We start from the raw sequence: 23,343 nt of genomic DNA, 5'->3' as shown, positions 1-23,343 counted from the left end.
AGAGGGATAAGCATGTGCAAAAGTCCTGAGGCAGGACCATGTTTGGCAGATTCAAAGTATGGCAAGGAGGCTCATATGTCTGCAGCAGGGTGAGTAAAAGAGATAGTGGGAAATGGGGTGAGAGAGAGAGAAACAGGATTATATTCTGAGATGGCTTGAGCCATCTCACTGGAGGGCTTGAGCGGAAGAGAAGAATATCACTATCTGATTTACATTTTAACAGGAGCATGCTGGTTACTGGAGGGAAAGGGCAGAAGGAGGGAGACCAATTAGGAGGCTATTGCAATAATCCCAGTGAGTGGAGCTGGTGAAAAGTGGTGGTTGAATTCTAGATATATGTTTTCAAGATGGAGCTAGCAGTATTTACTCACGATTGCATGTGGGAAGTGAGATAAGCAAGGAGCTAAGGATGACTCCTGCAAGAATGGAGTTGAGAAGACTAGGTTTGTGGGTGGTAGATTAAGTGTCCAGGTTTGGGCAAAATTTGAAATGCATATCGGATATCCAGATGGAAGTGTGGATTAGGCAGGGGGATTTTTAAGGCTGGAGTTCCCAAGGAGAGGTCTGAGTATGAGGAAGAGCTGTCCATTCTACCTCTAAGACCTGTCTCAAGTCAGTCCATCCCTAGTGTCACCATCCTGGACTAAGCTGTCACACTGCTGCTCTGGATGACCACAATAACCTGGCTGCCCTCCTCACTTCCTCTGTAGCCTCAGTATAATCCATTCGTTACATAGCAGCCTGAGTAGACCTTTACAATGTAAATGGGATTATGCCATCCTCCTGCTTCAAACTCCCCAGCAGCTTCTTGCATTTAGAGTAAAATCTCATCTCCATCCCCTGGCCTATCAGGCCCTGCATGAGCTAGCCTCAGCCTGTGTCTCTTACTACACCTGGAGGCACCATCCGTTTTGATTGCTCTACTCCAGTTAGCCTGACCTCCTTTCTTGTCTTCTAACACTCTGAACAGGATCCTGCCTTGGAGCCTTGTCCTTGCTGCTCTAAACTCATAGCATTATCCCCTGGGCTTTTCCCAAGATTGACTGCATTTTATATAATAGATCTTCTTGCCTCCTTGGGACATCACTGACCATTCCCTCTAAGATAACTGCCCCCCATACTCTGGTTCACACCACCCTGTTAATTTCCTTCCAGGCACTGCCACTCTTTATAATCTTCTTCATTAGTTTGTTCATGACTGACTTAGCCCCATGAAGGCAAAGATGTTTTGTTCACAATGACATTTCCAAAAACCATCACAGTGGCAGTCACACAGTAGGCACCTGATAAATGTCCAGTGAATGAATGAGTGGCCTCACGCCCTTTGCATCTCTATGCATATATTTGAATGTCTTGAACTGTGACATTAATGAAGATGGTTGAATTTCTTCAAAACTGGGAAGTCACATACATGATTAGACATCCATGTTCTATTACACTTGCTCTTCCCAGGAAAGGCTCAGACCCCATCTGCCTGGGGCATGTTCTCTTGAACTGGGCATTATACATGGCATGCTGCAATATTGTAGTGGTATACTATAGAGAGATTTGGCATCTCGATGTGTCTTCTTATTGTTTTTTCACTATACTCACAATGAGGAATGTAAGTAATTGTTGTATTGATGATTTAGAAACAAATACTTCTTCCTACTTGCTCAAGGCTCAGCAGAAAGCCAGGTGCATAGTAGGCACTCAATAAATATTTCTTGGGCAAATGAATGAATGAGTCTACTTAATTAAAGAGTACTCTGAGATTCCCAGGTGAGCTATTCAAACCACTTATCTATGCAAATCTAGATTTTCCCCAAATCTGAATAAGCAAGAAACTACAAAATAAATTGGATGCTGAGACAAGTGAATACAACTTTGCTTTTTGTGCTTTGTGTTTCTAAAAACTTCCTCAGGGCTGTCATCAAGTTGCCTTTACAATAAATAAGTAAATGTTATATGTTTGAACTTACCAAACACATTTAATATTTTATCACTTATGGCTTATAAATCTAAACTGCTTTGACAGTTTTAAGCTTGATTTGCAGCTACATCTTCTTCCATAATTAGGAAGCGCTGTTTTAAAGCACACAGACATTCTAGTGGTAAAATGCCATTTTTATATTAGGCTTTCAAGTGGGATTTTTGTTTGCTACCAGGCTTCCGTTGCTCAAAAAAAGATTGGAACTCACTGAACTCGGTGACCATTTCAGACCTCTCCATGCCTGGCATCCACACCTGCCTGGAATCACCCTTCTGGTTGCGTCTCCTCTTTGGAGAGAGGTTTGTCAACACCATCATCTCTTCCCTGCTGCCCACAGAGCAGGGAGAAGTATGTCCAACCTGGGACATGTTGTCCTTTTAGTCCCAGTGCTGGGTTGGGGGCGGAGGGAAAAAGGATACCAAGTTTGGAAGCTGAAAACATTCAAACTCTTATACTGCAGAGTCTAGTCAAGGGTGCCCTTTGTCCACAGGTGCTGGACTTGTTCTGTGAGGGGCCACTAGCAATGGGCTGAGGGACTTTGAGGGGATCCCCTGGCAGCCCCCTCACCCCTCAACGCAGGTCTGACCAGAATGGTAGGCTCTGTGCTTGGGGGCATGTGCACACCTCGCCCTGGGCCTGGCTTCTGCTGTCTTCATGATGAGGGGCTCATTTGGTGGGGAGTGGGGAGGGAGTGCTGCCTGGGCTGCCCCTTCTCCCTCTGCCCTTTCCAGTCCTCCCCTCTCAGCTCCCTTGGCTGCTCTGCCCAGGGGCTATAAATGGAGAGCTGGCCTCTGGAAAGGAATGTGGGCCTGGCTGGGCCCCCACAGTGTTGTGCCCTCAGGGAGCGGCCCTGGGGCTCCCGGCAGCCTTTATATATATAGCCTCTGGAAACCCAATCCAGCCTGCACCTGCCCCAGTCTTCACGCACCCTGCCCCTGCCCAGGCTGGGCCTGTGGCTCTGCACTGGGGCTGACACAGGCTGCGTATCTGGCCGGGAGGTGGGGGGCGCCAAAGGGCCAGAAGGTAAAAGCATGAGTGGGCCTGGTGGGGCAGGGCCAGCTCCAGGTCCCCTCTCTGTCCCCAGCCTTTCCCTTCCTGTTCCTGGGTCCAACCTGAGTGCCTCCCTCTGTCCCCTGACAAACTTGCTCCCTGGGAAAGCCAAAATCCACCCACCACATGGGTATAGATCCTTCTCTGGGCCCAGTCTGGGTTGGTCAGGAGGGACTGTGATATTGCCAGGATATAGACATGGTCCCAGATTAGGGACAGGGTCCCAGAGATTCCTCACAGAAGGCCACATTTCCCCGTTTGGGGGTACTCTCCAGCCTCCCACAGACAAGCAGGGCTTAGGAGTCTGGCAGCTGAGCTGGGAGTTGAAGAACAGGAGTCCACACTGTGGAGGGAGGGAACAGGAAGACAACCAACAGCATGTGCCCTTCCCACCCAGTGTGCAGGGGGTGGGGGCAGGGCACTATTGGGGTGGTGGGGATATTCCCACTCTCAGTTGTCCAGTCTATGATTCATTCACTTATACAACAAACATTTATTCAGGTGCTGGGAATGTGATGGAGAATGAAACAGACCATGTTCCTTGTTCCTGTGGAACTGACATGCGGGCAGGGCAGGGCAGACAATAAGCAATACACATAATAATAAATAAATTATATAGATGTTAGAAGGCGATACACGCAGAAAAATATTACAAGCAGAACAAGATGAGCAGGATTGAGGTGCCAGGTTGGGGTCGGCTGTAGTGTTAAACAGAGTGGTCAGGTTGGCAAGGTAACATTTGAGCAAAGAGTTAAAAGAGGCTTGGGAGTTAGCCATGTGGCATCTGGGGAAGAATGCTCCCGGCAGAGAGAACAAAATAATTATTGAGCACCTTCTATGGGACAATCGCTTCTGCTAGGAGCAGAGGATTCTGTGGGTACAGACAGGCATGGCTCCTGGAGCTGTAGGGGCTGGGGGGTGTGGGGGTGGCACGAGATAGAGTTTGGGCATGGGGTTTGATGGGCAATCTGTTACTTCTTCTTTTTTAAAAAATTGAAACAGAATCTCGCTCTGTCGCCCAGGCTGGAGTGCAGTGGCGCGATCTCAGCTCACTGCAACCTTTGCTGCCGGGGTTCAAGCGATTCTCGTGCCTCAGCCTCCTGAGTAGCTGGGACAACAGGCGCGAGCCACCATGTCTGGCTATTTTTTGTGTGTTTTTAGTAGAGATGGGGTTTCACCATGTTGGCCAGGCTGTTCTCGAATTCCTGACCTCAGGTGATCTACCTGCCTCAGCCTCCCAAAGTGCTGGGATTACAGGCATGAGCCACCCGCACCTGGCCAATTTGTTACTTCTAATGAAAGAATATCTTACAAACCAAGAGATTCTTGAAGAACTAGGCATAATAGGCTAGAGCTGTTTATTCCCCTCTTCAATAGGTTTATAAAAACTCCCTCCAAAACTGACATAGTACTTAAATTTAAGAGGGAATTCTCTAGATGTGATTTTTAAATTTAATTATAACTTCATCTAGAACTAAGCTTTAGCCCAATTCAGGATGTGAGATGAGGGTGGGCTGCTACCCAGGGAAGAGGCTAAAGGGCATGGGATGTGACCCATGTGAGCTTGGTGTTATGGGGGGACCCTCCCTGCAGCCCGCCCAGCTCTTTCCCCCACGAGGCCCCACATGCCATGTGCACCTCACATTCCATGCAGCCCTCACAATGCCTCTCACTCCGGGTTCTTTCCCAGACACTAGGAAGCCAGATGAGTGAAAATAGCAGGAGCTGAGACTGCCCACCAGGTAGGGGAAGCTGAGGCCAGGCTTAAGAACCCACTGATGCCTGGCTTCTGGAAAGACCTGAGGCGTTCATTCATTCATCCAGCCTCTCTTCTTCAAGCTTATTCTTTATGTAATTAAAGACTTTCTCTGCCTCAGAGGTGAGCCCTGGGGTCTTTGTGGGACTAGATTCCTGGGGTTTGAAATACACATGCGCTGTTTACTAAACAACACAAATAAGGTGACAATAACTTAATGACTAGAAGTGTTCAAGCAGGCAGAGCTCATGAAGGTGCTAATTATTCTTCTAGCCTAAAGACATTAGGCTCCCGGGGTGAGGAGGTCTACATGAAAGGAGAGTTCACTACCTTCACATTTGAAAGCACCAAAAAAATGCGAATTCAACTTGCAGCATGAGGGATTTAAGTCAGATGTAAAAATAATATTACCAACGTATGGTATTCCTCAAAGAGCACATTGCCCTTGAGCTAACGTGGTATGGATGCAGGCAGAAGGATGGAGGAGAAGGCCTCTCAAAGCTGCCTTCTCCTTTATGTATAAAAGGACTCCTGAAAAGCCAGAGGACGTCCCTCTGTCTCCTCTGCCTGTGACACTGCTCAGGAGGTTGTGCCATGCGTCCAGAGTGTGAGCCCAGGACAGAGCTGACAAGCACATTTTCTTGGAAGGACAGTTTGTCCTCACCTGCATTCTTCCATATGCCTTTGTGGTGTCATAGCTATGTGCACCTGATAAACTGCAGACAAGTCACATACAGTGCTCACCTTACACTGTGCACACCTCTCACACAATATACAGTGCACGCTCCCTGTACACCTCTCTGATAATGTACACCTCACACTCCCTGCACACCTCTCACAGAATGCACACCACACACCCCCTGCACGCCTCTCACAGAATGCATGCCACATACTCCCTGCATGCCTCTCACAGAATGCATGCCTCACACTCCCTGCACACCTCTCACAGAATACACGCCTCACATTCCCTGCACGCCTCTCACAGAATGCACGCCTCACACTCCCTGCACACCTCTCACAGAATACACGCCTCACATTCCCTGCACGCCTCTCACAGAATGCACGCCTCACACTCCCTGCACACCTCTCACAGAATACACGCCTCACATTCCCTGCACGCCTCTCACAGAATGCACGCCTCACACTCCCTGCACGCCTCTCACAGAATACACGCCTCACATTCCCTGCAAACCTCTCACAGAATACACGCCTCACACTCCCTGCACGCCTCTCACAGAATGCACGCCTCACATTCCCTGCACGCCTCTCACAGAATGCACGCCTCACACTCCCTGCACGCTTCTCACAGAATGCATGCTGCACACTCCCTGCATGCCTCTCACAGAATGCACGCCGCACACCCCCTGCACGCCTCTCACAGAATACACACCTCACACTCCCTGCATGCCTCTCACAGAATACACGCCTCACACTCCCTGCACACCTCTCACAGAACGCACGCCACAAACTCCCTGCACGCTTCTCACAGGATGTACACCACATGCTGCCTGCAGCCTCTCTCATAATGTACATCTTTCACATAATGTATACCTCTCACATAGTGTACACCTCACAATTCCTATGTGCCTCTCACAGAATGTACAGCTCACGTTCCCTCTATGCCTGTCACATAATGTACACCTTATGCTCCATCTACCTCTCTCATAATGTGCATCTTTCACATACTGCACACCTTTCACATACTGTACACCTCTCACATACTGCACACCTCTCACATAATGTACAGTTCACCCTCTCTGTACACCTCACATACCACATATATCTCAAGCACTGTGTGTATCTCTCTTGTGCCATGTCTACCTCACACTCCATGAATATGTTACACACTGGGTACATCTCTTATATTGTGTACATATCCCACTCCATGTACACCTCACACACACACACACCTCACACTCCATGTTACCTCACATACTATGTACAAGTCTCACATTGTTTACACATTACATGCCATGTACACCTAACACTCCGGATACACTTGACACTCTATGTAAACTCACATGCCATGTAAACCTCCAACAGCAGTATGTCCCACATATGGGATATTTCCTCTCTCACATCATGTGCATATCACACATATTACACCTCATATACTGTGCATGCTTCATAGTCCATGCACACCTCACACATGCGTATACCTCCCATGCTGTGCACCCCTCACCTACAGAACACACACACTTCACATGCCATGTGCACACCACAGATGCGTCCCACCTGCTCATATTCTAAGTTAGGTACGTCCACACCTCAGTCCCAGTGTGAATGCTTGTCTCCACCTATGTGCCTAAACATCCCCAGCCCCATTCAGAAAGAAGACGCTAAGGGGCACAGATGCCGTGACATCCATCTCTTCTTTGTGTTTTCCAGTTTGAACTTTTTAAGCTGAATCTTCCTACCTCAAGGAGGTCAGACCTCCCTCTAAGGGCTGAGGGAGGAGCAGCTCAGGGCTGAGGGGATAGCTGGTGACGAGGACCTGGTGATGGGGTGGCACATGTAGCAAGATCCAGAGGGCGGCTGTGGGGACCTGGAGAGGGGGCTCGGCTCTCCACCCCTCTCCTGTTGCCTCCTTTCTGCCTCATCAGTCCACCTGCCAGCCTGGGGGGCACCAAGGACTGGGATTAAGGCACACACAGCCGTTGGGCTCTGGGACAGACACCAGCTGCAGCCCCCAGCAGCTGCCCCAGCCACATACCTCTGAGTGGAGACCTAACGCCTTGAAGAAGCCTGATTCCCCCCTCCAAAATCTGCTTATCCCTGGCCAATAGCACCCAGGACAGGGGTTTCCTGGCAGAAGAACGGAGGGCAGAGGTCTCATGAATGATGCCCTCACCGCCTGCGAGTCTATGGTTTGCCTCCGTCCTACATCCCGTCCTGCCACCTCCGTGAAGCTCTCCTGGACTGCTGCTTTCCCCCTGGCTTGGGAAGGTGATTTATGGCCCATGCGCCTCAACAGGCCTAACCTCCCCCAACCCCTCAAGCATTCCCCAGACACCCACCCTGTTTCCAGGCCCCAGGTTAGGTGCAGTAAGATCTAGGGATGATTCAGACAGCATCCCCAGCCTCAAAGAGCTCTGTCTATTGGGGAAAGAGCAATCCATAAATGAATAATCAAAACACCCTGGGGGAGCACCAAGAGGGAACAATGAACTCTCTTGTGGACACCCAAGAAGAGTTCCCCAAGGAGGAAATATTGCTATCCTTCTTCTTGGTTACTGAAGGATGAATAGGAGTGCCCAAAGTGGGTCGGGGGGCTGCTGTAGGGAAAGGCTTTCCGGGCTTACAGAACAGCATGGGTGAAGGCCCGGAGGCATGACATGTGTTGGGATGTTCCTCAGGTGGCTGACGCTGGATCCAGGGTTGCTTGAATCATTTAAGACCTGTTGCTTCAGGCACCCCGAGGTGTGAGTGGGCTCTGTCTGAGGTGAAGCCACCAGTTTTCCAGGCAAGACAACAGGTCATGGCAGGGGTAGAGGACTGCAGTAAGAGGTCAGAGACTACATACAGTGGAGAGAGCCCGGACCAGAGCCAGAAGACCAGGGTTTTCACCTCGCTGTGCTGCACCCTGCTGCGTGACCCTCTCTCAGCTCTGTCCCCTCCTGGGTCCCACTTTCTTCACATGTAGGATGGAGGCGTTGGATGCCTGACTCCATACACACTCAGGAATGAGGAGGTCTTGCAGAGTCCCTTCTTCTCCGTGTCTTCTCAACCTCCCTCTTGGGCCTCCCTTCTCTGGGCAGGAGGGCAGCTGCCCATCCTCTGACTCCATCCACATGGCCCACATAGGGCTGGAACACCACACAGTCAGCTCTGGGGTGAAGCAGAAGCTGTGTGAGGCGAGGGCCCAGCATGAGATCAGAAGCCTGCTCCCCAGACTGGAAAGAAGTTAACTTGGGGGTCCCCACAAAGGAGCACTGGGGGACCATGAATATCATAGTCCTTTGCTTCTCCCAAAGATGGAGCACAACTTGCCTGGGTCCATCTGAACTTGGCCTAGGAGAATATGGTGCTGAGCTTGCCCAACATGGAGACTGGACCACCAGTGCTGGGGCTATGTTCCTCATGTGTCTCCACTGGACTTAGGAGTCTAATACACCTGGATTCAAATGCTGTGTCTGCTCGTTACTTACCTTGGGTAAGTCACTTCCCCTCTCCGTGTCTCATTTTTCCCAGCTGTCAAATGTGACTGGTTCTAGCACCTACGGAGGATGTAAGGGTTCAGTTGTCAAGGTATACACAGTGCTTGCATCATGCCTGTCTCAGGGTGCACAGTAGGAGCTTGGGAATTATTCTTGCTTTGCTTGATCTCTCTTTGGATGGAAGCCATGGGCAAGCAGTGGGTGGGGTGGGGATGAGGAAGTTGGGAGCCTGGCCTAGTTATTCTGGACTCTGGACCTCTTGGAACTGGGGGTCATGGTGGGGTTAGGGGTGGCTGGAAGCGTGGGTGATGATGCAGCCTGTGAAGTGTTGCCTGCAGCAGCAGGAATCACTGCCTCCACCATGCACACGGGCTAGCCTGCCAGCCACTCCCAAACAAAGCCTGGCCAGAGGGGAGCAGAGCAGGCCGATGACAGATGCAGACAGGCTGTTGCAGGCAGGGCCAGGGCCAGGGGCTGGGGGAGGCCCAAGGAGGCAGTTCTTTGCTAAGGCATCCCCAGAGAAGGCTGAGGTCCAGCAGAGTTCACATTTCAGCAGCTAGTGTCCCCACCCTGCCCCAACACCAGTGGCATTTATCCTCGTTGCATGGTGTTGGAACCTGAGGCCCAGAGAGGGTAAGCCACTTGCCCAGGGTTCACATATGCTTAGATATGGAGGTTCTGGGACAGAAATGCTTATCTCTTGCTTCTACATATCTGGTTAACTCTGAATCCCAGATCTTGGAAACAGGGAATGGGCTTCTTCAGGCCCCTTTATGCCCAGGAATCTCTGAAGGAACAAGGATGAACTTCCACCACCTCATGCCTTTGAAGCAGGGACATCCCCACCAATGGTGGACAAAGGCAGACACAGGACCCCAGGAGCTGGCGCTGATTTGGTTTCTCCGTGATCAAGTGGTGGCTGTTTCTGCCCTGACCTCTGACCTCTGGCCCATTTGACTCAGGGGTCTTGGGTCTCTGTTCCTACTTAGCTATCATGGGATGGGAGCTCAGAGTGGGCTTGTCCCAGGAACTTGGGAGAGCCAGGGAGGTGGGGAGAACATGGGGAGAAAGAAACATCTGGTCTTGGGGCCTTGCTGCTCTCCATCCTTTCAGGCCTTTCCCTGCCTTTTCTTCCATTCCAAGCCAAAGCTTTCCCACTGTTTCTTATGAATGATTTTGAACATTGACAGAAATAGACACAATAATACTGTGAACCCCATTACCACTTCCAATAACCATTAGTCCATGTCCAAACCCGACCTGTCAATGCCCTGCCTACTTCTTCCCCTTGTATGATTTTGAAGCAAATTTCAGACATCCCATAATTTCATTTGTATATATTTGATTATGTATGTCTAAAACCTAAGGACTGCCTTTTAAAACATAAGCACAATATCCTAAGCAAATTTCAGACATCTTGTAATTTCATTTGTATATATTTGATTATGCATATCTAAAACATAGGGACTTCTTTTTAAAACATAAGCACAGTATCATTAGCATACTAGAAAAAGTAATAGTAATTCCTTATGCCAGCAAATATCCAGGCAGATTTCCATTTGTCTCATAAATTTTGTTTGTTTGTTTGAATCAGGATCCAAACAGGTCTGCACCACAATTGTGATTGGTTGATCTGTCTTTTTACATATAAGTTTCCCTCCGTATCTTTTTTCCCCTTGCGATTTATTTACTTTTAAAAACTGGGAAACTGGGTTGCTTGTTCTGCAGTTTGTTATAGTCTGGGATTTTCAGATTGCATCCCCATGGTGTTTTTGTTTGTTTGTTTGTTTGTTTGTTTTTTGAGACGAAGTCTTGCTCTGTCACCCAGGCTGCAGTGCAGTGGCGCGATCTCGGCTCACTGCAAGCTCTGCCTCCCGGGTTCACTCCATTCTCCTGCCTCAGCCTCCTGAGTAGCTGGGACTACAGGTGCCCGCCACCACGCCCGGCTAATTTTTTTTGTAGTTTTTAGCAGAGACGGGGTTTCACTGTGTTAGCAAGGATGGTCTCGATCTCCTGACCTCCTGATCCACCCGCCTCGGCCTCCCAAAGTGCTGGGATTACAGGCGTGTGCCTGGCCCCTATGGTGTGTTTTAACAGGTTCACCTGTTCTCTGTATTTTCTGTAAATTGTTGGTTGGATAGAGGCTTGGTCAGATGAAGATTTGATTCGTTTGGGTAAGACTGCTCTGTAGGAGATGTGTTCTTCTCTCAGGGGTGCATAATGCCTAGGTATCTTCAATCAAGTTTCTAGAGTGTCTTCATTCGCTGGCTCCTCCTCCTCTTCTCCTGCTTTCACATTCACTCCCAAAGACAGGAAAGTGGGTGAGACACCTATTCACCAAAACAGCCACCAACAACCTTATTATTGCTGAGGGGACATTTCTCTGTCCTTGCCTTATAGGACGCCCTTTAAAGTCACCAACGACTATGTCCTCTTGCTCAAAATGTTCTATTCCCTTGGTTTCCAAGACAACATCCTCTCTGGTTCTGCTCTGACCACTGACCATTCTTTTAAAACCTACTTCCCAGTCTTCTCTTGTTCCATCTGCCACTGAAGTGATGATGCTCCCTCCAGGTTCTGACCTTTGGCCATACTTTCTTCACTCTCTGTGGAGTCATTATTCATTTCCAAGACATACCCACCACCTGAACACAGACAAATTCATCCACATCCATTTCCCTAGCAAACCCTCACCTGCGAGCCTCAGACTCATGTATCCAACTGTCTATTTCACATCTCCACCTGAATATCTCACAAGCTCCCCTAATTCATCATGTCCCCAAATGTGCTCACTACCTTCCCCTGGAATCCAGCCTGTCCTCAGGAAATTTTTCTGTCTCATTCAATAGCACCACTACCTCCTTTGTCACCCAATGTAAGGACCTAGCCATCATCTCCCACCTCTTCTCCCTTGTACCTTCATTTAATCGGCCACTAAGTCTTACTGATTTCATCTCTTAAATATCTCTTGAAGTCATCTTCATCTCTCTGCTCCAATTACCCTGTTGTAGGGTGGCCCCTGACAGCCTTCATCTCCACTATTGTAGCAACCTCATAGCTGGTGTCTCTGCCTTGACTCTTAGTCTCCTTTAAGTTGGTCCCAACACTGCCCCTGGACTGATGACTCTATAATAGAAATCTAGCAGTGTCCCCCTTGCACAACCCTTTCAGAGCTCCCCATTGCCTCCAGAATAAAGTCCTAGTGCCCTGGCATAGCATTCAAGGCCTTTCAGAATGCATTTCTACTTATCTTCTGGCCACATGGCTCAGTGTTCCCTGGGAAGTAATATGGGTTCCTCCAACAGGATGACTTATGTGGCCAAAATTCTGCTCTTGCCATTTCCTTCTTCCAGGAATTTCCCCTCTCCTTTCATGGCCCACCCTGTCACTTGTCCTTGAAGATTCAGTTCAGAATGTCTCAATAAGGAAGCTTTTCTAATAGCCTGGCCCCAGATCTCTGGCTTCCAGTCTGACTCAGTGCCCTCTCTCTGTCCTCATGTCTCAGTTTCCTCATCTGTAAGGATGTATTATATGAATGAAATATATAAACATAAGTAAAGAATGTAAAACAGCAAAAACAGTAAGTGGCTCCATAATTGTTGCTATTATTATTGCTTCTAACATGACATTTTCCGTATTAGATTGACACTATTTTCTGGTCAGTCCTGCATCCTAGGCTATGATTTCTCCACATATAGCATGCATCACTCATTCATTTGTTTGGCTAGAGACACAACAGAGACAGCCAGTTGTCCTCCAATATCCATACCTCACTTTTTTAACATAATGATATAATGTTTACTTGGAAACATGGTATATCAGTCAGCTTGGGCAGCCCATAACAAAATACTACAGACTGGGTGGCTTCAATCTAGAAATATATTTTCTCACAGTTCTGGAGTCTGGAAGACCAAGGTCAAGGTGCTAGCAAGGTTATTTCTCCTGAGGCCTCTCTCCATGGCTTGCAGACAGCCACCTTCTCACTGTGTACTCACATGACCTTTTCTCTGTGCATGCACATCCCTGGTGTCTCTGTTCTTGTTAGGACACCTGTCATATTGGATTAGGGCCCCACTTTTATGATTTTAATTAACTTTAATGACCTCCTTAAAGGCCCTATCTCCAGATACACTCACATTGGGGATTACGGCTTCAACCTATGAATTTCCAGGTGAGGACACAATTTAGTCCATAACACATGGCCATCTAGCAGAAGACTACATTTCCCAGATGCCCTTGCAGCTAGCTGTGACCATGTGACTAAGTTGTAGCCAATGGGGTATGAGTGGGAGTAATTTGTGTGCAACTTCTTAGTTATGACTTTTGAGGGGAAGGAGCTGGCCTTCTTTCCCTCTCCCCATTGGTTGGTATGTGGGTGATTGGCAGGAGCTGGAGTGGCCATCTGGTAGACAGAAGAATGGCTCTTCCTCAAAATGTGCACATCCTAATCCCTAGAACCTGTGAAAACATTACGTTACAAGGCAAAAAGGACTTTGCAGATGTGGATGGGAAGATTATCCTGGATTCCCGAGGTGGGTCCAATGTATTCACAGGAGTCCTTATAAGGGAAAGAAGGAGGCAGGTAAGTCAGAGTCAGAGAGGAAAATGTAGCTATGGAAGCAGAGGTTGGAGTGATGTGGCCATGAGCCAAGGAATGCAGGTAGCTTCTAGAAGCCAGAAAAGGCAGGGAATGAATTATCCTCTAGAGCCTTCAGAAGGAGCACTGCTCTGCCAACCTTGATCTTAGCCCTCTGAGGATCAATTCAGACTTCTGACCTCTGGAATTGTAAGATGATAAGTCTGAATTGCTTCAAGCCGTTAAGTTTGTAGCAATTTGTTTGAGCAGCAATGGGAAACTAATATACCACCTTAGATCATGTGATGGAAGTTGCAGATTGAAGATCTGCAGAGCAATGAGAAAGAAAGAGAATCTGGGTGTCCAGTATTATTAAGCTGCCACATAAGTCTTTAACCACCTACGTGGAATTTTATGTAAGCAAAGAATAAACTGAAATTTTTAGGTCTTTTTGTAATCACAGCCGTCTAATCTGTATCCTACTGATATGCCTACCTGCTATGGGTCTGGCAATGACATGGGCCCTAGGCAGTAAGATGTATATTGTATGTGGTGAGGTGGCTGGGATATGCCCAGGAAATTATGTGAACACAAAAAAGGAGGCAAGAAATATTTGCTATACTAAGCTGACTGCTGCTAGGTAAATAAGAAATGCTCTTCTCATTTTGCAGATAAGGCCAAGAGGTTGGGGGGCTGTCTCCCAGGGATACAGATGTCATGTCTCTGAGGAGGAAGTAGAGGTTCTGGGGTAATCTTTAGGGAAGATGAGAAGTGAGTGCCCCTTGCAGGGAAGTGGTGGGAGTCAAGTGGGCTGTGGTGTCACACTGCCTAGGGTGTACTCATGACTCTGCCACTGACCGTGTGACTTTGACAAGTCCCTCAATCTCTCTGAGCCTCCATTTCCACATATGAAAGGTGGAAATATTAATTTACGTTTCAAAAAGTGCTGTTGTGTGACCAGGCGTGGTGGCTTATGCTTGTAATCCCAGTACTTCGGTAGGCCGAGGTGAGTAGATCTCTTGAGCCCAGGAGTTCGAGACCAGCCTGCATAACGTGGTGAAACCCCGCCTCTACAAAAAGTACAAAAAAATTAGCTGGCCATGGGGGCATGTGCCTGTAGTCCCACTTGGGAGGCTGAGAGGTGGGAGGATCACTTCAGCTCAGGAGGTCGAGGCTGCAGTGAGCTATGATCATGCCACTGCCCTCCAGCCTGGGTGACAGAGCAAGTCCCTGTGTCAAAAAATAAAATAAAATAAAATAAAGTAAAATAAATTTAAAAAGTGCTGTTGTGGTTATGAAGTAGGAGAATGCAGGAAAAGTGTATCCAAAGCACAGAGCTAGGAACATAGTGAGTACTCAGTCAGCAGCTACTGGCTGGGCATGGTGGCTCACACCTGGAATTCCAGCATTTCAGGAGGCCAAGGTGGGAGGATTGCTTGAGGTGATCCAGCTTGAGTTTGAGACCAACCTGGTTTTGAGCCTGGGTCTTGAGTTTGAGAACAGCCTGGCAACATAGTGAGACCCTATCTTTACTAAAAATAAAAATATTAGCTGGGCGTGGTAGTAAGCACCTGTAGTCTCATCTACTTGGGAGGCTGAAGTGGGAAGATGGCTTGAGCCTGGGTTGAGGATGCAGTGAGCTGTGATAGTGCCACTGCACTCCAGCCTGGGTGACAGAGTAAGACTCTCTCTCTGCCTCTCTCTCTCTCTCAATAAATAAATAAATAAATAAATAAATAAATAAATAATAACCAAACAAACCCAGCAGCTACTGTTAGTTCTCACCTGTCCAAAACTCAATGATCAGACCTGCCTACTGAATGTTGGAGATGTTTAACACCCATCAGCCCCTGTGAATTCCCAATAGTTAAGCCCGGATCTCACACACACAAGCTTCTACAATACTTATAGCTGCCGTGATTTTATAGCCCGTGCCCAAGGAAGAGAGGAAGAGGTGAAAGGGTTTGCCCCGCTGCCCCTCCTTCCATCTCCCTCTCTTTTGTCCTAAATGAAGATGAAGGCCACGTGCTGCATGAGTCCAACTATAGGACATTCTGGAAAAGGCCAAACTATGGAGACAGTAAAAAGATCAGTGGTTAACTAGGGGTTGAGGGGATGGAGGGTTGAATAAGCAGAGTGCAGATAATTTTTAGGGCAGCAAAACTATTTTGTATGATACTGTAATGGTGGATACATGTCATTATCGCTTTGTCAAAGCCCATAGAATGTACATCACAAAGAGTAAACGCTAATGTAAATTGTGTACTCTGGGTGATGATGATATGTAGTTTCATCAGTGTTGGTTTGTTGATTATAACAAATGTCCTCTGGTGCAGGATGTTGACAGTGGGGGAGGCTGTGCATGTGTAGGTGCAGGGGTATATAGGAACTCTCTGTGCTCTGCTCAATTTTACTGTGAACCTGAGACTGCTCTGAAAAATAAAGTCTTTTTTTCTAATGGCATGTATCTGTTATCTATTACCGTGATAATTATGTGTAATAAGCCGCTCTCCAAAATCCAGTGGCTTCAAACAATAAGCCTTTAGTTTCTGAGTCTGCAGTTGGCTATTTAGATTGGGCTGTTTTCCTAGGCTCTGCTGGGCTCACTCACATGCTGTACTTTACTGGCTCAGGCTGGTCTTGGCTGGGGAACTGGGCGACTCAGCTGCGCTCCACAGGCCTCACCTCTAGCAGGCTAGCCTAGGCGTGTTTTCATGGTAATGGTAGTGGTGCAAAAGTGCAAGCAGAAACATAAGCACATTTCCCAAACCTCTGCCTGATTCATATATGTTAATATCTCATGGGTCAAAACAAGTTACATGGCTGAACTCAGAACTGAGACATGGAGAAATACACAATATGCCTCCTGATATGAAGAGTTGCAAAATCATAAGGCAAAGGGTATGAATACGAGGAGGAGTGAAGAACTAGATTCATTAATATAATTGGTCCACCACATGTAGATAATAGTATACCCACTCCAAGGGATGTTGTAAGGGTTAGATATGGTCAAATATTTGTGTTTAATATAGTGTCTGGCCCATAACAGGAACTTATAAAGTGGTTCATTCCTCCTTACACACAGGAATCTTTGGATGAGTATGGGACTTTTCAGATGGAGTAGAAGGTATTGAGAATCACTGGCATCACAGGAGCAAGGGTTAGCACACGATTTGTGCTTTGCTCAGTAGAGGTACCAGTGGGAGCCTCCGTCGTGTATCTGCTATAGCTGTTTCTTGGGTTAGGTCTTCAACCATAACAAGCACGATGCCACTGGCTGGCAGATACTCCCTTATCATTTACAGAGTCATATTCATCAGAATAGATTTCCTGCCAAGTGAGAGGTGTCACTGAAATCCTTTCAGACCATTAGCTTCCCTCCCGCTATACAAACATAAGTCCCCTGACAAATGAAAATGGATTCTCCTGCTTTTTGAGCAGTATGATGATGACGATAACAACAATAATATTAATAGCTCCCACCTACTAAGCAGGAAAATAGGTTTTGATTCTCACATTAGCTCGCCAAGGTAATGCTATTACTATCCCAGTTTTACAGAGGAGGAAACAGAGGCTCAGGGAAGCTATTCAGCTAGTAGGTGGCAGAGTTGGGACTTGAACCCATGTCTCTCCAAGGCCAAAACACTACTCCACCTTTTCTACCTGACTCGACTTGTGTTTATTCTGCTGATCTCAAGTCAGAGGTCCCCTGTCATTTGTGTTACTTTTTGCTAGCTCACTTCAGCCACCATACACAGGTTTCATGTCACATGCTGACAGGGAATGAAGATCCGCCATGAGAGGGTCATGGCTGAAGGGAATTTTTCCAGGTCTGGGCAGGTGAGGCAGGGACCCCAATTTCAGGACCAACCCCTCCCAGAGTTACACTTGAAACCTTCCCCTTCTCTGGAAGGCCAAGGCCTTCTGGTCATTTCTGGGATAGCCTGAGGGCTTGGCCAAAGCCAAGGCCTGGAACTGGCCCTCCTCTCAGGTCCCTGACCTCTCATGGCTTGTATGTAGGGGTCAGTGAGAAGCAGGACTCCAGGAAGGAAGACAAGGCCCCAAACCTCAGGACTCAGTTGGAGAAACCAGAGAAGGCCCCAGAACAGCTGACTCTGGGCGCCACGTATTGGAGGCAGCCACCCCCTCCCCCACACTGGCTGTGCTGTGAGTCACGGGTTTTAAGCTGAGCACTCTGGGAGATTAACCAGCTTTGTGACCAGCTGCTGGAGGAGGATACTTGGCTGAAAGAAGCAGGATAAAGTTACCCTCTCAGAAGTTTATAGGAAGGCCCATAAATGCCCCCAGCTGCTGTGGGGCCCATGTTCTGGGGTGTTCCTTGGTGTTCCCCCTGGGCAGACCCTCAGTGGCTGTGCTCATTCCCCCTGCTCCTCACCTACCAAGTAGGTTCTACTAATCTGTCACTCACTGGGGATACCTGCCACTTGGGGCCCCATGGTTCCAAGAGGGATCTTGGGCCATGGGCCTTCCTTGCCTGGATGACAGATATTAGGAACAGAGCCCATCCTGGAGTCAGTGGGAGGAACCTGGCTCCTGCCTGGCTTAGATTTGGGGCAGAGGCTGGTGGGAAATGCCTGAGTGGGATGGCAGCCCCTGGCACACAGGCCGTCCCAGCCAGGGTGAAAGGGACAGGAAGAACCCCACCCCAGAGCCCTAGAATGCAATGTATGGAGGGGCTGAGGAGGGCCTGAGGCCTTGGAGAGGGAACTGGGAGGCCTGGCTTCTAGCCCGGCTCTGCCTCTGACCCTCTGGCCTCAGTGTCCTCATCCACCAAAAGGAAAACTTGTCATTTCAAACTGTGTTCTCTGGAGTCCTGGGCCATTCAGAAGTGCTATAGGGATTCCACAAATGTTGGATCAGAATTTTGGGCCAGAAGTATCCTTCAACCATCATACATACGTATCCCCTTATTTCACAGATTTGCATTAATCAAAATAGCCTCATTTTTTCTTCCACCGGTTGACCATTCATTCAACAATTCTTTCATGAGTGCCTACTATGTGCCAGGCTCTTTTGTAGCTGGTGAGTAGAGCATACTTTATAAGAAATAACAGTAATCCATGTGAACTTATAAATGAATTTATGGCAATAAAATGGCCCCTCTGTCTGCTTTATGTATCAGGGTTTCACCTAAGAATTTATCTGAAGACAGGATTCTGCTCCTAAATAAGTTTGGCTTGGGATGATCTCCCGGGTGCCTCCCTGTCCATCTGGCTCCATTCTCAAAGCACTAAGCTGCCAGTCCCATGGGGGAAGATCTAGAAGAGGTGAAGATCAGGCACTTTAGTCCCAGGGTACCCACTGGCATGGGGGTTTCTCCACGTGGTGGAGAGGCCGCCGTCTGAGTGAGGCTTTGTGTGTCCTCTGTACCAGGGCCCGAATGGTACATGGGCAAGAGGAGGACATTGGGTGCAGACTGTGCCTCAGGATCCCAAAATAGACATTCAGGAGAGCCCAACCTGGTTCTACCCCCACCCCATTATCCTACCAACAGCCCACCCCCAAATGGTGCTACTACTGATGCCAACTTCTGCTCTGTGCCAGGCACTTTACATACATCCCCTTAATCTTGCCAGATGGATATTTTTAGTCATATTTTATAGATGAGGAAGGGAAGGACCTACTACAGGCAAGCTGTGTGCTAAGTGCGGGGGATACAAGCAGAGAGTGGGCCCATTTTAATCTAGTGGGAGATACTAAGAGTCATATCTAACACATGCACTACTTACTATAGGACAGGAACTTTTCCTAAGTCAGTCTCCTCAACACCAGCATATTATTATCATGCCCATTTTATAGATGAGGAAACTGAGACAGAAATATTAGTGTCCTAAGGTCACAGAGCAAGTAAGAGCTGAGATTTGAACCCCAGCACTTGGGCTCCTGAGCCCATGTGTGTAACTACCCTGCTGTGCCCTCTAACAGTCAAGTTAATATTCCGCAAGCATTCTTTCATTCCTTCATTGGGAATTCCTTCACTGAGAGGACAGGACAGTCCTTGCTATCCCACAGCTCCCACGCTAATGTGGGAGGCAGAGGTATAACAGAGTCACCACCTAGGGTGAGGAGAGCAGCGCCTGAGGTCAGCACTGGAGGACAAGGGCATGGAAAGATGTGGGGTGTGAATCTTGGCTCTGCCACTGACCAGTCAGGTGACCTTGGACAAGGGATATAGCCTCTCTGAATTTCTATTGCCTCATCAGAAAGATGAGGATGGTAATATCTACGCTTCAGGATTGATTTAGGATTAAACAGACAATGCACATACAGTGTCAAATACTGTGCAAAGGAAGACAATAAGTGCTTAGTATATGGTAGCTGTATTTATTAACAAAACTAAAGAGTGGGTGGGGAAAAGGAGGATGAAGAGGATTCTGGAACTTGTTTCTCTATGAGTTCTGTTCTTGGCCAGAAGCTGGCCTTCTGTGCCCAGCCCCCTTTCCATCCCCAAGCCTGTCCAGGCACCTGCTATGGGTCCTGGCATCCCGAGGCAGGGCCAGGGAAGGGCCAGGGTGAGGCCAAGAGGGCGGGTGAGGACAGCCCAGCCCAGCTCCTCACTGCTGGGGAGCCTGGTGTGGGGGCAGGACTGCTCTTGGCAGCTATGTTCTCCCTGGATGGAGAGAAGGCCTGTGTGTCTATGGGGTGAGTAGAGGCAGAGGCAGCCAGACCCTCCTACCCCTTAGAAAGCAAGGTTCTAGCAGCATCTCTGTAGGGGTTCATGGTAGGGGCGAGGGCAATGGCTCTGCCTGCCCAGTGCCTCAGCTCAGTGCCCAGATCCCTGCCGCTTATCCCTCCAGACCTCGTCTGGGCCCTGCCTTTGTTCTCATGCAGCAACTGTCTCCAGGAGATGGAGATGACATCAGAATAGCCGGAGCAGGTGTGATCCAAGGTTCTGCAAGGAAAAGGAAGGATGGTGTGGAGTGTGTTGCTGCAGGGAAGGCTTCCCAGTGGAGGTGGCTCCTGAGCTCTAGGAAAAGGGAAGTGAGTGTCCTTCCAGGCAGAGGGAACAGCAGGTGCAAAGGCCTGGGGGCTCGTCTATAAGGTTAGATAAAACTTCTCAGTTCTAACACAAACTTTATTCAGATCCAATTATTTTGGTAGGAAAGGGGGCATGTTAAAGCATGTCTGGGGGCCCTGAGCTAGGCCTGGGATGAGGATGGGCTTAGGGAGCAGGCCTGAGTTTAAGGAGGGCAGGAATCCAGGTGCCAGAACTTAGGCACTGTCTCCATCTCAGCACCAGAGGTCTGAGGCCCTGCAGGATGGATGGCTGAGACATTGCTGCTGGGAAGGAGCTTGTGGGGGGTCTTGCGCCCCAGAGGTGTGTCTGCAGAAGGAACTTGAGCAGCAGGTCCCAAGGAAGGTGGAAGCTCTTCCCAAAACCCCTAAACACACTAAGAATATGGAGGTGTCCCATAGACAGTCTGGTTACAGAGATACTCCGAATATGGGCTAAGGTCCTGGACAGTGACACATGGTCCACATAGGGTGATAACAGGGATTGTCATATCAGAGAGACACCCCCAGACCCCCCGGACCACACCATCACACAGTGACAAGAGCTCACAGGGCACACAATCAAGTGTTCCCCCGCCCCCACTGCCCCTGGGGCAGCCTCACTCCTGGGACCCCCTGGAGCTGGGCGCAGCCGGTGGCCGTCAGCGCCAGCGGCAGGGCCCCCCGCGGCACACGTGCACTCGCCGCCCGCAGCCGCACCCCGCGCACACGCCGGCGGGGCTAACGAGCCCACAGGCCTCCAGGGCGGGATGAAGCCAGTTGTCGGGCGGGGCCGCGGCGGTCACACAGCATTAGCCCTGCGGCCGCCCCGCCAGGTGCGGCCACTGCCCCTAATCCCTCGCCCCGGCACCGCTAAGCCGGGCCTGAACGACGCCACAGCTGGGGGCGGCCGGCCACGCGCCTCCCCTCACCGCAGCCCCGGCCCGGCCCCGGCCCCGGCCCTGGCCCCTCTCTAAGGCCGCGCGCCCACTGCGGGTCCCCTCCCCACGCTCTAGCGCGGCTCCCACCTCCTCGCCCTGCCCAGCGCTCTCCAGTCCCTCCCCGCCCACTGACCCTGTGCTCGCACCCCCGTCTCTCCCCAGCACCCCCACGGCCGCGGCCCAGATCCTCCCCGCTTTGCCCACCGGCCTCCATCTCTGTCCTCAGGCCCGCTGGAGTCACAAGCCCCATCCCAGACTCTCCAACGCTGGACCTGCAGCGCCCAGCCCTGCCCTGGTGCTACCACCTGCCAGCTCTGTGCCTGCCCCTCCACTAGATCATGACTTCGGCTCCAGCTCCCTCACTCTCCATGCCTCTCACTTGCGGGTTGTGCCCTGCTCAGCTGGCCAGACTTTGGCCCCCTCCCTACCTGGATTTGTGAAGCCCCAAATTTCATCTCCCCCACCACACTTATTCACAGCCTCCGCCTGCTGACATACCCAGGCAAGACTCCCTTCCCCTCCAGGCAGCCAAACTTCAGTTCGAATCTTCTGGCTCTTACCAGACCCCTGATGAATCCCAGGATCTTCGCAGGTGGTCCCAGGGCCTCTTTGAACCACAGTTTTACTTATCTGAAAAATAAAAAGGCATGATTTAGATGACTTCTGAGGACTCTCTTGCCTTTCCTACCCCAAAACACTAGCAAGGTCATGTACTTCCATTCATCTGAATATTAAAGACAGATGAATATGGAAGAACAGCCACTGGCCATGTGTCCCCACCGGAACCCTTCCCATCCCTTAGCTCTCAGGGTCTGAGCTAGCCAAGGCAGCTTTTAGCCGCTGGCGTAGGGTGGGTAAGAGGGAACAGGGTGGAACCTGGTTGCTTAGGTCTGGGCCAGGACTTGGTGTCTCTGCCACCTTGGGAAGGATGTCTCCTAGAAGGGTGTGTCTCTGAGGCTGGCCTGCTGGGGGTCCTGGCCTCAGGCACTGCCAGTATTAGTGCTGATGGACAGCCCCAGCAGGTGGGAGCCGGCTAGTCCTCCCCAACAGCCCTGCCCACCTGTTACCCTCTTTGCTCGGGTGACCGGCTGCTTGACCCACTGACCAACTTCTTGCTGCTTCCCAACACCCTGGGCACGGTTCTCAGTGCCCCACTCCTCTCCCTTCAGCTTTTCCCAGCAACATCCTGGCTCAGAGCACACAGCACGCACATATCATGCATATGCACATTCACATTGCACACATAGTCACACGCTAATATAGGGCTGCATGCATGCGCACCCCGCATCTGAGCCTGCTTCATATTCATGCAGGCTGAGCCAAGTTGCTTCTCTCCAGGTGGAGAATATTGGCATTGCCATCTCTGTGGCAATAGGACCACATGGTTAAAGCAAAGGCATTAAGTCTGGATCACTGGATGCCTGTCCTGGCTCTGTGATATCCTAATGTGTAACCTTGTCAAGTTACTTAAACTTCCTGCACCTAATGTTCCTGATCTGTCAAATGGAGCTGATTATATCTCATAGGATTTTGAGACTCAAATGAGAAGATCCATGGAAAGTGCTTAGAACAGTTATCAGTACCGTGGAAATTCACAATACATGTTAACTGTTAGTAGTAGTATCCAGGAGGGACTGAGGGTCTCCTGGGAATACCTTGATAATGTTCCTTTAGTCATCTCTGGCCATAACTATTCAAATGGTTACAAACAATCCTGATTGTATTTTTCTTCCACTTATGAAGCCTGTATCAATTGCCCAGATGAAATCAGGACATGCCATTTTCACAGCCTTACCTTTATCTTGATAATGATTGTTCATCCTTTGCTGTTTAAAAGCCAAGAAAACTGGTAAGCGTAGGCCTAAGTTGTTTAGAGA

General features: G+C 49.4%; 1 long non-coding RNA gene across 1 annotated transcript, besides 3 other annotated features; it reads left to right on the top strand.

The window, feature by feature from the left end:
- Positions 2,241 to 2,741: an enhancer, noted in NCBI's record as "H3K4me1 hESC enhancer chr11:17736199-17736699 (GRCh37/hg19 assembly coordinates)". NCBI's record gives its function as "activates a minimal SCP1, AML or CMV promoter by ChIP-STARR-seq in naive H9 embryonic stem cells {active_cell/tissue: H9 hESC(naive)}" and the evidence as "EXISTENCE:reporter gene assay evidence [ECO:0000049][PMID:30033119]".
- Positions 13,077 to 13,371: an enhancer, noted in NCBI's record as "tiled region #13094; K562 Activating DNase matched - State 9:DNaseU, and HepG2 Activating non-DNase unmatched - State 22:ReprW". NCBI's record gives its function as "activates a minimal TATA promoter and a strong SV40 promoter by Sharpr-MPRA in K562 cells, with weaker activation in HepG2 cells {active_cell/tissue: HepG2 | K562}" and the evidence as "EXISTENCE:reporter gene assay evidence [ECO:0000049][PMID:27701403]".
- Positions 17,557 to 17,851: an enhancer, noted in NCBI's record as "tiled region #4357; HepG2 Activating non-DNase unmatched - State 22:ReprW, and K562 Activating DNase matched - State 5:Enh". NCBI's record gives its function as "activates a minimal TATA promoter and a strong SV40 promoter by Sharpr-MPRA in HepG2 and K562 cells {active_cell/tissue: HepG2 | K562}" and the evidence as "EXISTENCE:reporter gene assay evidence [ECO:0000049][PMID:27701403]".
- Positions 20,454 to 22,126, top strand: LINC02729 (long intergenic non-protein coding RNA 2729). The gene is made up of 2 exons (NR_132279.1): positions 20,454 to 20,574; positions 21,693 to 22,126. It is a non-coding gene; the product is annotated as a long intergenic non-protein coding RNA 2729 (long non-coding RNA).
- Positions 22,127 to 23,343: the final 1,217 nt, after the last annotated feature.

This window comes from Homo sapiens, chromosome 11 (genome assembly GCF_000001405.40).
Source record: "Homo sapiens chromosome 11, GRCh38.p14 Primary Assembly".
NCBI lineage: Eukaryota > Metazoa > Chordata > Mammalia > Primates > Hominidae > Homo > Homo sapiens.
This window is presented reverse-complemented; position numbering and strand designations above follow the sequence as displayed.